The sequence below is a fragment of the Homo sapiens genome, chromosome 19 (assembly GCF_000001405.40).
Source record: "Homo sapiens chromosome 19, GRCh38.p14 Primary Assembly".
NCBI classification, from domain to species: domain Eukaryota; kingdom Metazoa; phylum Chordata; class Mammalia; order Primates; family Hominidae; genus Homo; species Homo sapiens.
In genome coordinates, this window is record NC_000019.10 from 33,385,911 (window position 1) to 33,401,344 (window position 15,434).

The 15,434-nt window shown below is 61.9% G+C and overlaps 1 protein-coding gene across 3 annotated transcripts in view, besides 4 other annotated features; it reads right to left on the reverse strand.

Moving 5' to 3' along the window:
* Window positions 1,040-15,434, reverse strand: part of PEPD (peptidase D) — a 134,842-nt gene continuing 120,447 nt past the window's right edge. For all 3 annotated transcript variants that reach the window (NM_001166057.2, NM_001166056.2, NM_000285.4), the window contains 3 exons: window positions 5,385-5,569; window positions 1,980-2,171; window positions 1,040-1,571 (listed from right to left, as the gene is read on the reverse strand). In NM_001166057.2, the coding sequence (NP_001159529.1) occupies window positions 1,434-1,571; window positions 1,980-2,171; window positions 5,385-5,569 (515 nt within the window). In that variant the 3' untranslated portion in view covers window positions 1,040-1,433. The remainder of the gene's footprint in view (window positions 1,572-1,979; window positions 2,172-5,384; window positions 5,570-15,434) is intronic.
* Window positions 3,527-4,429: an enhancer, noted in NCBI's record as "H3K4me1 hESC enhancer chr19:33880343-33881245 (GRCh37/hg19 assembly coordinates)". NCBI's record gives its function as "activates a minimal SCP1, AML or CMV promoter by ChIP-STARR-seq in primed H9 embryonic stem cells {active_cell/tissue: H9 hESC(primed)}" and the evidence as "EXISTENCE:reporter gene assay evidence [ECO:0000049][PMID:30033119]".
* Window positions 6,601-7,365: an enhancer, noted in NCBI's record as "H3K4me1 hESC enhancer chr19:33883417-33884181 (GRCh37/hg19 assembly coordinates)". NCBI's record gives its function as "activates a minimal SCP1, AML or CMV promoter by ChIP-STARR-seq in naive H9 embryonic stem cells {active_cell/tissue: H9 hESC(naive)}" and the evidence as "EXISTENCE:reporter gene assay evidence [ECO:0000049][PMID:30033119]".
* Window positions 9,353-10,182: an enhancer, noted in NCBI's record as "H3K27ac-H3K4me1 hESC enhancer chr19:33886169-33886998 (GRCh37/hg19 assembly coordinates)". NCBI's record gives its function as "activates a minimal SCP1, AML or CMV promoter by ChIP-STARR-seq in naive H9 embryonic stem cells {active_cell/tissue: H9 hESC(naive)}" and the evidence as "EXISTENCE:reporter gene assay evidence [ECO:0000049][PMID:30033119]".
* Window positions 10,183-11,012: an enhancer, noted in NCBI's record as "H3K27ac-H3K4me1 hESC enhancer chr19:33886999-33887828 (GRCh37/hg19 assembly coordinates)". NCBI's record gives its function as "activates a minimal SCP1, AML or CMV promoter by ChIP-STARR-seq in primed H9 embryonic stem cells {active_cell/tissue: H9 hESC(primed)}" and the evidence as "EXISTENCE:reporter gene assay evidence [ECO:0000049][PMID:30033119]".

The window sequence follows — 15,434 nt, forward strand, 5'->3', positions numbered from 1 at the left end:
TGGTTTCATCTGTGGCATCCTTCTCACTTGTCATCTTTCACCTTGGCTTGGGAACTCTTGGATGGGAGCTCTGTGAGAAGGCAAACCTGGAATGGTGTACAGAATTCTAGAAACCAGCTCCAGGGGTGGGCTGTTCTGCGGGACCCTGGGAGAACTGGACAAGCAGAGGCAAGGACAGATACTTCACCAGGCATGGCTGGGCCCTGGCTGGCTTCCTGCCTGGTAGAATTTGTTCAAGGACTACACTTAGGGAGGACAAGCGGTCTCTGCAAATTGGCTGTGGCGCTGCCTTCGTTGGCAGTGTCTCCGACAGATGCTGGCTTTGGCTAGTGTGTCCCACATGAAAAAGAAATCAAGGACAAGAGATCCCTGCAAGTCTCAGGTTTTAAATATCTGCAGCTCAAGCGCTACATGATTCTACCACCTTCAGAAATCTAGTTTGGAGGCAGTGACCGTATCAGAAAGACTTGTGTTAAATCAGTCCGCCCTTTAACTTGCGCAAAGGCATGGCGCGGGGTGACTTGGCCAGTCTGACCTGAGTGCCTAGGATCTTCCTGCAGCGTTGCTTGCCCCACCTCAAACCTCGGGCTGCGCTGGTACTGACAAGCTAAAACCACCTTGCCTAGGAGTACTTCTCACACTTGTCTGTCAGGAGCATCTGGCGGGCGCTTGTGAAATACACAATTCCTGGGCCATTGCCCCTAGACGTTGGGTCAGATGGTCTGTGGGGGTCCCAGGAATCTCTTACCAAATGCCCCAGTGGTTCTGATGCCTGTTAGGCTTGGGAAACCTTGCAGCAAGTGACAGGGTGACACCAGAGCCCCGAGTCCCAGGGGCTCAAAGCAGGCTCCTCGGGGAGGACTCTGCCCTTGTCCCGCCAGGCCAGTCTGAGGCAGAAGCAGCCGTTAGAGGGCCTGTGCTGCCAGCACCATCTTCCTGGAACTGACTTGATACTGACACCAGGTGAGCCATCTTTTCAGGGTGCACGGGGTCCCAAATGCTCATCTGCAAAGGAATAAAGGGGAAGCCACGCACAAAGGACCATTTTAGGAAACCTTTTATTGCAAATGCCATTCTGCATATTGATTTTTGACAGAAAGTATCAGAAATGCTTCTTTCCTGGGAAAAGGAATATAAATGACAGCAAGACACATTTTAGTTGCTACTAAAGAACAGCATTATTTTCAATCATTTTAAGTCGCTCATTTAATAAGCAAGGTATAAAACAGATTAAAGGTGGGAGCCTGCAAAAGGGTAATTAAAAAAGTGTTTCCTCCCCGGGAAACAGCACTGTTTGGTCTGATCAAATGCCGAAGCTGGGATCTGATTCTGGGTGCCGTCTCTCGCTACTGGAGTGCTGACCAGCAGGCTGCCCATCACGAAAAGAGGTTGCAAGGCCAGGCCCCCAGGTGCGCTGGGATTTCTGGCTGGCTCTACTTGGGGCCAGAGAAGGGGGTAAAGGCCTTGTCACAGCCTGCCATGCATGCTTCAATCTCTTCCACAGTGCGGGGCACGCAGGTCAGCAGCTCTATGCCGCTGTCAGTCACCACGACGTCCTCCTCGATGCGGACCTGGGTCAAGCCGACAGACACACATTATCATAGAGCAGCCTCATGTGCCAGGCTAGAGGGCCGGGCCCATTCCAGGCCCACCCCACCATGGGATGGGAGCAGCTGACACTCCCTGGGAGACGGGTGGCCTCCGGGCTCCTTCATGGAGCCATCTGCCCATGTCACCTGCTCACCCTGTCTTTGCCAGGTGGATGGGAGCCCCTGGAGCGGGCAGGGGTTTTGCAGGATCTCTGTCTGTTCCTACTGAGGGGTGAGGCTCCATCCTGTGACAGACCACACGAAGGGGCAGGCTAAGCCCACCTCAAGGGAAGATGTCACTAGGGCCCCTGTCTTGGGACTAAGGAGTCTGCAGCTGCAGTGGAGGTGGCAGATGTTCTGGGAGCAAGAATGGGGCCCGTGGGCACTCACCCCGCCAAAACCGCGAAAGCGCTGCAGGACCTCGCGGTTAAGGAAGGAGGCGCGGGCCGGGTCCGCCAGGGCCTCATCCAGGAGGTGGTCGATGAAGTAGATGCCCGGCTCCACGGTGAGCACCATGCCTGGCTGCAGGTGCCGTGCAGTGCGCAGGCTCCGCAGGCCGGGCTCGTCGATGCGCTCCACGCCCTGTGGGGAACAGAGGTGAGGGGCCTGATGAGCAGCTCCAGGGCTCACCGTGGCCTCATCAGGAGAGATGGGCATGTGAGGGCCGGTGCCAGTCTCGTGGGCTCTCTTGACCATTGGGGTCCTCAGCCTAGACTCGCCCCTGCTGTGCTGGGCCATGGGCACCCTGATAAGACCTTCCACCCTGCACATACCCCTGGATCTTGAGTGTCCCTGGCCACACTACCCTAGGGCTTGCTTGAGAAGCCCTGTGGCCACCCATGTGCACACACCCGGGGCAAGCTGCCCAGACAGGCCTGTGGGGCTGGCTGAGGGTTGGGCTGCCCTTAGCCAGGCCCCGCTGCTGGCCAGAGGAGTGGCAGATGCCAAACCACTGAAGCCAAAAAAGCTCTTAAGGCGGCTGTGAAGCCCCTTGGGGCCACAGCTTTCCTTCCAGGCAGCCCAAGTAGAAACTGGCCCCAGAAGTCGTGGTCCCAGCTCCCCTAGGCCGAGGCCCAGATTTTCCGTGTGACTGTCCAGGGAGGACAGGTGCCGTCATCAGGGTGGGTCTGCCAGCCTTAGTGCGCCAGTGCAAATGTGCCGTGTGCGCGTGGCTTGGCAGGTGTGGCTCCCAGAGGAGAGCTCGGGGCCTTACGGCAGGGCCCTGGGAAATAGCCCCCAGCCTTGGAGAACGCCTGAGGGACAGTGGTAGAGCCGCTCCCTGCAGGGGCCCCTGTCTGCGCCCCACACTGCCCCAGTGCACACCCAGCCTGGCCTTGTCCACTCACAGGCACAGCTGAGGGGGCCTCAGCTTGGCTGAGGGCAGCGGGTGCTCTGGGAATTACAGGAGAGCTCCTGCTCGCCTCAGGTCCCCGGGGCACCATCCGGCCGGCGGCCAGGGCCTCTGAGCCAGTGGGCACGAGTATGCTTTCTGGTCAGGGGATGAGCCTGCCCTGCCCGGCTGCACTCCCTCCCCAGGAAGCCCAGCTGCTGGAGCGGGAGCTGTCATTTCTGACTGTTTGGGGGCCAAGAACATCAGACTCCAATTAGCAGTTCACGTAAGGTAACCAGAAACAGGCTGGCTCGGCCTCCACGCTGGGCACGGCCAGAGAGGCTGTGACTGATTCCACGGAGGGCAGGGACAGCCACGCTGACCTGGAGAGAGCAGGCCAGGCGGGAGGCGATGAGGAGACACCACAGCCTGGCTGGTGTGGCCCCGGCCCCACAACACTTGCCTCTGGGCCGCTGACCGGGAGCTGAGGCCGGAGGGCAGGGATGCCCCGTGGCTGAGGAACCGTATGGAGTGACAGTCCCTCTGCGCAGGTGAGAGGTGCATGTGGACCGAGCTGGGGCCTGTCTCCTGCCCAGAAGCTGCTGGGGGTCCCAGGGTCTCTGCTCCAGGACCTTCCCGTCCCTGTCATCCGAAGCCTGTGCTGGGCTCCCCCACCCCACCGCCGCCCATCCCTCTCCTTCATGCTATTCCTGAAGTGTCCGTCCCTGTCTCCACCCACAGCAATCGAAGCCAGGGGCCTGGGGGAAGCAAGGGCCTGCCAACGTCAGGTTTCCTTCCTTCCAGTCACCCCTCCATCCCCATGGGCCCACCCCGGCTGCTCCATGGTACACGGTTGAGGGGCAGGTTTGTTTCCCCAGAGAAACGAACTTTCCTCCCCTCTGAAATCTTGAGGTCCACCACTGAAGTGGGGTGGGGGAGATTAGAAGGGATCCCCAGCGGGCACAGGGCAAGGCCTGCCTCAGCCCAGTGGCGCAGCTGCCCCTTCAGGGTGTTGGCTCTAGGGGCCTGCCCGGGGGACCTGCTGAGAACAGGGCGCAGGCGCCATAAGAGAATGGGAAGGGCTGGGCCGGGTGGAGCGCAGAGCCATGTGGGGAGGGCACGAGCCCCTGTGGCCCAGGAAGCGCAGCCTTCAGGGGTGGGGAGGGGTCCTGCCCTCACCGCGCCCATGCTCGCCTCTGCCTGGGCACAGGGCTTGACAAGGCCTCAACTTTTATTGGGCTCCAAGCAGAGGAGCCCCAGATGTGTCTGCAGGCCTGAAATAAAACAAATGACTTTTATAGGAAAAGCCATATTTTTTCCACAATGTTTATCTGTCAGAAGAATAGACTCTGAGCACAAAGAGGTGCTTACTGGAAAAGATGAAAACAGTTTGCTGCCAATTTTTGCTGGTGGAAAAAAAGCGCTTTGGCGACTAATGAATAACGAACCTCAGCTAACAATGTCTGGAAGGCCCAGCTCTTGGCTCCCTGCACACAATGGGATGAATAGACATTAGGAAATTAAAACTGATTTTGTTTCTCCAAATTTAACTGTTTACACTTGAGGAAAAAAATAATTGAATAATAATGCTTCTCTTAAGCAATTCCCCCCACTGCCCCCACCCTGCCAAAAAATCATTCTTAGTGCTTTCAAAACACCCTGCAGCCAAGAGGCTGAGCCTTGTCTTGGCTAACTGGCTGGGGGGCCCCAGGGCGTGCACGATTGCACAATCAGCCCCCTGCATTGGGCAGCCCGCCAAGGGCAGGGATGGGAGCGCCCCAGCCGCCCAGCCGAGAGGCCGTAGCCACCTGCCCGGTTGGGCCTCCCCAAGCCTCACTTACCCTCTGGGTGGTCCTCTGAGGGCCGGGGAACCTTGTCTGGAGATGGCCCCCAGCCTCCCTTATCTGCCAACGGGCCCCAGAATGCCTGGGGATGAGGAGGCTGCAGGGTCCCAGGTGTGCGGCCCAGGGGCCTGGGAGGAGAGGGCGAACCAGCGGCAGAGCAGGGCTGCTCCGGGTTTGTGAGGGGCCAGGGTGAGTCGCCAGTGGGTGGGGCCTCATCAACTCCCCACGCCCCAGGTCTGAATGAAGCCAGAGGCGGCAGGACGTGAGGGGTGCCACGTAGCTCCATCACGAAGACCTGTCCTTAGCACCACTGTCCTGTGGGGCCCCATGCACCGTATCCTGACTGTGTGCCACCTTCTGGACAGGTGACACCTGGGCCCAGCAGGCAGACAGCACCGCCTCTATGTCCAGTTCTGTGGAATGCTCACAGATGCACCCCTGTCTTGGCCAGGGTCCCGATTCCCCCCTCCTCATGGCCTCCGTATACCACAGGGAGCCATGGGGCCCATCCCTGCCATCCCAATACACGCCTGCTGCCTCCTAGAGTCCCACCCTGCCCTGGGGGTCAGGCTCAGCGGCAGCTGATGGGCAGGCCACTCCGCCTGCCATGTCCACACTGACCTCTGGGTAGCCTCCCACGTCGTGCACGTCAATGCCCAGGAAGTGGCCAAGCCCGTGAGGCATAAACACGGCCCCCAGGTGAGCCTGGACCATGGCGTCCACGCTGCCGCTCAGGATGCCCATGTGGGCCAGCTCCTCCAGGTGGATGCGGTCAGCCAGGCGGTGCATGTCAGGCCACCAGACACCTGTGGGCCAGAGGGAGCTGCCGTGAGCCACAGAGCCCAGCAGCCAACACCGCAGGGCCAGGGGCTGGGAGATGTGAAGCCCTCACACTGGCTGTGGTGGGAGGGCCTGAGGTGGGGGGTGAGGGGGCAAGGGTACTACATCGGGGGCCCAGGGGGACAAGGACTAGGGTGGCCCCCCGTGCTGGGCTTTCCCAGCAAAAGCTCTGGCCCTCGGGACCCTTCTTGTCCCTCCATTCTGCCTCTAGGGGCAGGTTCCTGTCACCTGTAGCCAAGGGCCCAGCCTGGGTCTACTCTGTAGCCCATGGTGTGTCCACCCTGAACAGCCTATGCTTCTGGGCCCAGGGAAACCTAGCCAAATCCCTGGGCACCAGGAGAAACATGCACGTCTCCCCAGTAGCAGACACCAGGAGACTCTGTGGGCTCTGGCCCTGAGGCTCAGACCCAAACCCTGGCTCAGAGCTCCGATGGGGTTTTGCTGCTGTGGTGCAGTGGGGAAGCCCGAGGCTGAAAAGAGGGGTCCCTGCACATCCCAGAATGGGGATGAAACACCCCTGGAGCTGCTGCAGGGAGCAAAGGTTTCTGGGGAGAAGGTGCGGCTGGCACGGCCCCACGAGCTGGCTGGCAGGGGTTCGGGGCCCCGCCTGCCAACAGCAGGGGCACCATCTCCAGGGGAGCCAGATGTCCAACTCCCGGCTTCAAATCCAACTCATCTCTGCCGCATGTTTGTGGGGCAAAGGCCACCAAAGAGAGAACTTCCTAAGCACAGAGCTTTGGGGGCCACACAGGCTCTGTGGGGCTCTGGAGCATGGCCGCTAGGAAGGAGGCCCTTAGAGAGCTCTCCACGTAGAGCCTCAGCAGCCCACGGGTGCGCCCGTCCCATCCCCGGACTCTGTGGAATCCCAGCATCAGCCTCTCCTCATGGTAGCTTCCACTGCTGGACTTGGCTTGAGCACCAGATAAGGACTCGAGGCCGGTGAGGCCTCCTGCCCTGGCCCCATGGGGGCTGGGTTTGGGCAGGCCACGTGCTGGCAGAGGCCGGGGCCCCAGGACACTCTGGCCAGGCACGTGGCGGGGGGCCCCTATCAATGTGCAGCTCACTGGCTGGAGAGGGCGCCCAGCAAGTCCCTGCGGCACCTCCTGGAGAGGTCCAGCCCCACCAGGCGGAGTGACCTTGGCTCCCGAGGGCCTCCCTGCCAGGCTTGCCTTGGCGCAGAGCCAGAGCCTGCTCTGCATGGTCCCGATCACTGCTGTGGGAGGGGCCGGGGAGACCCTGAGCTGGCGAGGGCTGGGCTGTGAGAAGCAGGGTTCTGAACCTCTGTGGCTGGCGGAGGGCAGATGATGGGCTCGGCTGGCGAACAGGGATGAGAGTCCACACTGGGACACAGGCCATCACCCCCGACACACTGGGCACAAGTCCTTCATGTTGGGACCCCTTTAAGTGCCAGAGTTGGCCACTGTGGTGCTGGGGTCTCAGGCGGGCTGGGGGTGCACGGCTTTGGGCAGGCAGTATGGCTGTTGCCCGCCATTCACAGCACAGCGCCCCAGCCACGGCAGCAGCCTAAGGGTGGCAGGGGTGGAGATGCCCAGACCTGCCCCCACCCCCCACACAGAGCAGGGATCCTCCTCAGAGCCCAGCTCCCCATCAGCCCAGCCTCCTAGGGGCTGAGGTGGGGGCGGCCGTCCCGGGGTCTGGGGTCTGGCGTGGGGGAGGCCGTCCCGGGGTCTGGGGTCTGGCGTCGGGGAGGCCGTCCCGGGGTCTGGGGTCTGGGGTCTGGCGTGGGGGAGGGCCCGGGGTCTGGGGTCTGGCGTGGGGGAGAGCCCGGGGTCTGGCGTGGGGGAGAGCCCGGGCAGACCTGGGGCAACTCTGGCTGCAGCTGCCCTGTATCTGGGGCAGCCCTGGGCACACACACCCCTGGCTGGCCCAGCCCGCACCCCTGGCTTTTCTGAGGGGCACAACATCCCGGAAAAGGACACCTGGATAACTGCAGCCCACTTGGCCGCTCCCCCGCCTCCGTGAGCCTCAGCTGCCGCTGGTCAAACAGCCCCACCTCCGTGAGCCTCAGCTGCCGCTGGTCAAACAAACAAACAGCCACAAGGCAGGCCCCGGGGGGTTGCTCTCAGAGCCTCTGTGTCACCTGGGGGCTGGAGGCAGCACCCCGGACAGTGGCATTGGCCACCATTCCTCCATCGCGCATGACCAGCCAGCCCTGGTTCCACACTTGACATTCACTTGTTCCTGGGGGTGTGCGCCAAGCCTGCCCAGCCTCTGCTGCTGCTCTTCTCTGAGAACCCAGCCCGGACAATCCTGGCCCACCTCGCCCTTCCTCTCTGCTGCTGCATCCTCCAGAGGCCAGACCACCCCAAGGCACACAGGCCGTTTTACCTCAGGCCCTTTGCTATGGCCTGTGCCAGGCCTTGACCTGTGATGCCTCATCCAAGGGGTCTCTGCATAAAAGCTGTCCCCTCTCAGAGGAGACCTTCCTGCCTTGCTGTCCCAGGCCTGGTGATTTCTCCTTGCACGGTCCATCCAGCCTGCAGCCGTCCCCTGGACGGATCTGCTCGTTTGCTTCTCATGTCTCACTCCGAGGGTGGGGGTCTCCCGAGGGCACCGCTGGGCCTGGCATAAAGTGAGTGCCCCTCAGGTCTCCCAACAGCCTGCAAAGTTGGCACATGGGGCTGGGAGGCCTCCTGTGAGTGGCTCGTGCCCCAAGCCCAGCTCAACTGCTTCCTCTCGGACGCGCCCTTCTCTGGTCACCAAAGGGGAGCCCCGGGAAGTGCAGCCAGCTTTCCAACCAGGCTAACTTCAGCAGTGGGCTACGTTCTTGGCCCAGCCTCCGCAGAGGGCGGGAATCAGGTATAAATCATGCTCTGCGGTGGCCCTTCCCGGGGGCAGGCCCGGCGCCGCCCAGATGTGCCGGCCCGGGGGTCCCCTTGGCGCCGCTGGTCTTCCTTGCCTGTGCACCCTCGGGGAAGGCCTTGCACACAGCTCTCTTGGCCGGGAGCAGGGAGTTTCTGCCTGTGTGTGGTTAGGGTTGTGACAGTGATTCAACCTCCAGCAACTTGGCCCCAGCCTCTGGCCCGGATGGTGGTTACGACACCCACCGCCTGGGCGGGGGCCCCTGGAGTGTGTGAGGGTCACTGTCCTTGCACTAGGCTGGCAGGGTGGGCACCAACTTGAGGGTTCCCTTGCTGGCCTGGGCCCACTCTCAGGCTCCTCCCACCCTGGCAGCCTGGAGACACCGTCAAGCTCTCTAGTCCAGGCTGGAAGGCACCCCCGGCCCCTAGCCAGCCTATACCCAGATGCCACACTGAGAATCACACAGCAGAAATTGGGCACCAGCTGCCCTGCGTGCCCCAACCCCCAGCAAGCACCAAACCTCATTCTGGCTTTCCCGAAGCACCCCTGCACCTGCCCCACCCCTCCTGGAGTCTGCCTGGCTCCCTCCTCCGCTGCACACCCCTTGGATGCCTGGGCCATCTCTTTAGAACGAACGGGGCAAACAGGGCCATTCCCGGCCCCGGACGAAGCCCAGGTTCTCAGCTTGGCCTGGTCTCCAGCCTCTCCCTCACCCACTCCTGGGTGGGGTGGCTGGACCAAGGCCACGGGTCCCAAGAACTGGCCCTCCCTACCTGCTGTTTCCTTAGCTGGGGCCACCTCCTCCAAGCCCGTTTTCCCAGATGTGCTCCCATTCCTCCTGTGGGCCTCTGTGGTGAGGCTCCTCCTCCAGGAAGCCCTCTCTGATTACCCCTTCCTGTACTTTGAGAATTCACGGAACACACAGCACAGCTGGGCCTGGTTATGACCTCTGGGCCTTGCAAGGGTGGTGCCCGTACTCTGCTCTGTGCCTGGCATGCTGCGGATGCTTGGTAAACGCCTGGAAGGAGAGGAGCCCCAGCTTCTCTCATGGCTCTCCTGCAGCCAGTGTTGTGCCCCATCCCCCACTCCTCTGTGTACTCAGACCCTAGAACGGGCAGGGTGGCCTCTAGGTTAGTGTCCCATCATGCGCCTCATGAAATGGCAGGGCTCAGAGGAACAAGCCCCGCTGCTCCTGCCACCCAGGCCCCAGGTGTGGCCAGCGTAGCCCCTGAGTGGTCTTCTGGGTCCACTTGGTCTCCTCAGGCAGCACCCGCTCCTGCTGGGCCTAGGGCCCAGGCCAGCTCCTTGGAGCCTCAAAGCATCCATCACAGCCCCGAGGCCTCCTACCCGGAGTGTGACAGCCCCAGGGGGCTCCCGGGCCTGACCGAGCTACAAAGGCAGCATCCTCAGAGCTGCCTCCAGACAAAGAGCGCACTTCATCTGTGGAACATGGCCCTCGGGATGGATGGGTGTGAGCCAGGCTCTAGGGGTGTAGGACAGCAGGCTCCGGCCGGGGTCCCAGGGCAGGCCCTGAGGGCTGGCTGAGCTGGCACGGGGCTGAGGACCTCCAGCTCACCCCACCCTGCACGGGACGTGAGTAGAAGAACCCCATCTGCTGCCAGAAATTCTGGGGACCCACTCACCCTGCGTGAGAGCAGGGTGCTGTGTTGGCCCAGGCTGCTCCTCGAGTCTCCTCCCCCACACCCTGGCAGAGTGCCCCGAGGAGTAAGAAGAGGCCAAGGAACTGGCTCACCATTGCGGCCGGCAGGAGGGGTGGACATGGTGCCCACACTGAAGACAGTCCTCCCCGTCCTGGCACCTGCCGCAGAGGGTATCTATGACTGGGGTGGCACATGGCCGCCATGCCTATCTGCCTGAGCCCTGCACTCCACGCCGTCTCGGAGGATGAGGACTGACAGGAAGTCTAGCTGCTGGGCCCCTGCCCCTGGCGCTGGCTGGGAGGGGAGCAAAGCTGGCAGAGGTGCCCCCTGACCACGGGGCCACAGGAGACACATGCCAGGTGGGCCGGGGCAGGTGCTGCTGGGCCCCTCTCCCAGCCACCTGGTCATCCCGCGCCTCAGTGCCCCTCTCTCGCCCCGTCAGGACTGTTTTGGAGGTGGGGACACTTCCTGCCACTTCTTTCCCCTCCTCTGACCTCACATTGGCAGCACCCCCGTCACTCACAAGTGGCCAGGACCCTGAGGGCAGGGACAGAGCCAGGAGCGGGGGAACGAAACACAAAAGAGCTCATGAATCGTGGGCCACCATTGCTGTTCCAGGTTGATAGGAGCTGGGCCCCCAGTGACAGGGGCACAGGAGGCTCCTGGGTGAGCACAGGAAAGAGTAGAGAAAGGCGGGGAGGCCAGGGAGGGTGGGGGGGTGAGGAGAGAGGGAGCTGGGTCGGGGCTGGGAGGCGAGGCTACAGGAGGCTCTGGGGCTTGCAGGCGGAGGGCATGGGGCCCTCAGTGCTGGGGTCCTCTGGAGCTCCAGGGTGGCTGCAGGGACTGAGCCCGCGGGACAGGGACAGCTGTGCTGCTTCTAGGAACAGCCTTCCTGCTGTGGCTGTGCCAATGCAGACCCTGACTCAGGGCCACCCTGCCGGGCTCGCCCATCCGTCCCAGCAGCGCCTCCCCCCATTCCCCTCACCATGCATGCAGGGGTCTGCATGGGGTGGGCAGCCTGCCCCAACACAGGAGCCGCGCTGAGCTTGGATCCCACCCAACCTCCCGTGCATGGCACTCCCCGAGGTCCTGCAGCTGCTGGGCCTGCCCTGCCACCCGCCTGTGGACTCCCAGCCGCCAGGGTAGGGTCTCCGTCTGAGCGAGCGCAGCCTCCTTCCTCGCCGACTGTGAATGACAGTGAGGAATGCTCCCCCACCAGCCCTAGGATCAGGGGCCAAGGCCTGCATTCCTCAACCCCCCAGGGTCCTGACCATTCTTTCCTGCCTCTCCTTTGGGCTTAGCTATGGGGTTTCCTGCTTTATTTACTCTCCCTGGAAGGTCACAGGATGCAGTCGGGCAGTCTCGGTGGGGTGTTTGTCTTGGCCCAGGAATTGAACCCACGAACCCAGGGCATTTCCGCTGGGACAAGGCAGGGGGCTGACCTGGCCACGGCCTCCTCGATGCTACGGGAGGCGACCTGCCCCATCCGGAGGGCAGCTCTGTGGGCCCAGGGCCTGCCCCACGGGCCTTCACTGTGTGTGATCCAGATGGAGTCCGACTCTGCCCTTGGGGGACACCAATGCCACACAGCTCAGTGTGGGTGGTAGGTGTGGGGGGGCTGCTGGGGGGCTGCTCCATTCCCTTACACAGGGATCCTCCAGACCCCAGGCTGGGTCTGGGCAGCAAAGCCCAGTGGTGGGTGGGAGCGGGGCTGGGGGAGGACCTGCCTCCCATGGTCTGAGATGAGCCTAGCTGGATTTGGCCTTGTGGCCCCAGACACCCCTGCCAGGCCTGAGGCCTGTGCCTGCCCCAAGAGTCAGCATGAACCAGGCAGCACCACGGGATGGGAGACCCAGCTCAGGCCTTTCTCAGTGCCACATGGGGCCTGGGGACTTGCCCCGAGGTCTGGCCACTTTCTGGACAGAATTGGGGCTGCTGAGTTGGGCCAGGGAGCTGGCCAGGATGCCAGCTGTGGAGATGCCACCCAGGTCCTGCCCAGGCCGCAGCAGGCTTTCCTGCAGGTGAGGCCAGCCAGGGCTGGGCCATCCCTGGTTTCAGCACAGGAGACTGAGGGGTAAGACAATGGCTTTCCCACCGAACACCCCCCAGGCCTTGGCCCCTATGCTGCGTCAATCCGCCGCCCTGCTCCCCGTGGCCTGGTGCTACCTCTGGCACCCTGATGGGCCCGGCACTGCCTGCTGACCAAGCTGAGCTCCTCAGCCTGATGCTTGGGTGTACAGGGTTGCTGGGCTTGGTGGGCCCCCGCCCCTCACAGGCTGCAAAGCTCTGCTTCGCCGCTGGGAGGCTCAGCCCCTTGCAGCCTGGGGCTCTGACTTTCTGGACATCTGGATTTCACGACTGCCCGTGGATGTCTGACACTACCACTTGATGTGATGGTGACACAGTTCGCAATGACACAGCCCACCTTGGCACAGCTACAGAGTGGGAGGCCAGCCCTGTACGTGAAGGGTGTCTGAGAGACTCTGGCCCACCTGAGAGGCTGTGCCCGGCGGAGGGCTCTCCGTGGAGGGTACAGGAGCTGGGCTCACAGATACTAGGTGAATACACCACAGGCCACGCTCACCTGCCAAATCCTCCTGCTGGATCTGAAACACTGATCATTCATTCGAGTGACTAGTGGTATTTAAAACTGAGCAAGAAATTCTCATCCCCAGAATGAAGGAAGGAGAAGGAGTGGCGCCCCTGGGCGACTGCTTCGTGGAGGCTGGATTGGATTTGACAGCTAACGGGGGATGCTTCCCATGGCTGAAGAGTCAGAAAGAATAAGAAGGGACGCAGCAAGCAAACTGTCCCGTCCCTTCCTGCACCTCCTTTATGGTTTTCACAGGCGCACGGGAATTCACGCTCTCACTCCCTCTTCCTTTTACCCACAAGGGCCCGCTGGCCATACCCTCTGGCGCTCTTCTGTCCTCACCCACCCATCTGCCTGGAGACACCTGTATATTCATACTCAGGGGTGGCAGCTCCTTTTTGTTTGTTTTTTGAGACAGGGTCTCACTCCATCACCCAGGCTGGAGTGCAGTGGTGTGATCTTGGCTCACTGCAACCTCCGCCTCCTAGGTTCAAGCGATTCGATTCTCGTGCCTTGGCCTCCCGAGTAGCTGGGATTACAGGCATGAACCATCACGCCCAGCTAATTTGTGTAATTTTAGTAGAGACAGGGTTTCTCCATGTTGCCCATGCTGGTCTTCAACTCCTGACCTCAAGTGATCCGCCCGCCTCCCAAGTGCTGGGATTATAAGTGTGAGCCACAGAGCCCGGCCTGCTGCTTTTTAAGCAAAGCAATTCCGCAGAAAATGCTGTTTTCCTCGGCAGCTGCTAAACCAGGTGAGTCCGATCAGCGCTGTCACCCCATCACAAGCTTATTGACTTTTGGATTTTCTGTCCTGTCTTCCTTTTGGGGCACATCTGGGGTCCCCCTGCTTGCACTCATGCGTTTGTCAAGCTCTGTTCCTGTTGGATGCGTGAAGGTGTGGGGCTGGGGCCTGGCACTGCCCCCAGCGTCCCTCCGCGGCTCCTCAGCCTCTGGTGGGGGCTCTGGAGGCTGGACTGGGCACCATCTGCAAAGGCCTGCCCACAGTCTGCCTCCTCTGAAAGCGACGGTGGCTGAGGGCCCCTCTGAAGCACACTTGGGCCGGCGATCGAGGCTGCAACTCATCCCAGCAACGGGCTGTGGGGCCGCAGGGACTGCTCAGTCGACCGCCGAGCCATCAAGTTCTGAGGCCGCATTCTGGAGGCTCCAGATCTTTCTTTCTTCTTTTTTCCTTGAACACTGAGGGCGCACTTGGCAGCTGCCAGCTCTCTGTGGGTCCTTAACAGAGGGCACTCCATGTCTAACTAGATGCCACGGTCCAGAGCTGGCCAGGCCCGCTCTGAAGTGGACTCTGCCTTGGGAGAGCAGGGGTCTATCCTTCGCCTGTTTGGGGCTTAAGTAAGGTACCTGGCCAGCAGGCGGCAGAGCTGGGGCTGGGCTCGGGGCACTCTGGGTCTGGGGCCTGCATCCTGGACTCTGAAGCCTTGCGCTACTGGGCTATCCCCTCTGCCCGCGGTAAGCCCACCTGGCTCCTGGAGGACGCCTGAGCTCCCCTACACAGGGGGCTGCCTTGGGCCTGCCTGTCTCTCTGGAGGTCTGTATAGCTGTGGGTGAGAGGCAGTGGGCGAGGGTGGGGGCAAGCTGGGGGGGCTGGACTATGACCTGGGCATGGCCAACACGAGGTGATCTCTGACCTCGACCCAGATGGAGGGACTCCAGGCTGCAGAAGGTGGCTGGGGCCTGTGTGCTGAGGGCGGGCCCTGGCCAGACGATCCAGCTGTGAGTACAGGGCCATTGTCCTGTGCCACTGCAGCCCTGGCCCCAGCCCAGACCTGATTTTCCACCTCTGTGAATTTGTGGCAGCCCCAAATGACCGAATTGGCTGGAGACTGTTCTGTTGCTTATAACCAAAGATGCAGAACCTGCGTGCCTTGGGGGGCCAGCTGTGCCTGGGCCGGTGTGGGCAGGGAAAGCCCCTCTGCGCTGCAGGCTGGACCCTGGCAGCTGCCGAACAGATCTCAGTCAGAGTCGTGGGAGCCATGTGCCTGTAGAGGGCCAGGCCTAGGGGTTGGCCAGCACATGGTGATCCCATAGGAACCTGCCCAGGCTCTGGTGAATCCAAGGATTACGGCAGGGGTGCTGTGTTGAAGCCCTGGAAGGCTTGAAGCAAGAACATGAGAAGACCACATCCCTCAATTCTCTCCTCTGGGCAAAGGTGACAAGCCAGGACCTCCCATCACTGCTGGGAAATGGTTTCTATTGTTGCAGGGCAGAGAGCTGGGGTTCGATCCTGTGGGTGCTAGACTCCACCCCTGCCAGGGCTATGGAGGACCCAGGGGTCACTCGGCAGGAGGCTGGCTGAGCGGGATGGGGACAGCGGGAGGTGCCCAGGGGGAACTCCTGAAAGCTGGCCTTGTTGGGAGGATGCTGGCTCCCCTCCAGGGGACCTCCTCTGCCTGCCCTGACAGACATCAACGGCGCGCGGTGGGAGGTCAAGAGGTACCAGTGGGGCCTGTGCAGGCTGCCTGGGGTTGGGAGGGCTGAGGGCAGGACAGGTTGGCCTACGCTGGCCGCTGGGAGAGAGAAACACCAGGCCCATCCTGGCCTCAACATGGCCATCATGGTGGTGACTGTGACCCCTGCAGGGCACTACCACAGGCCAGGCGGCCTTGCAGGTGCTTTACACAGCTTAACTCAGTCTCCATGAGTCGGCTGCTTCCCCATTTACAGATGTGGAAACGGCCACCCAGAGGAGGGCTTTCCATCCAAGGTCACAGAGCGCTGAGCGGCACG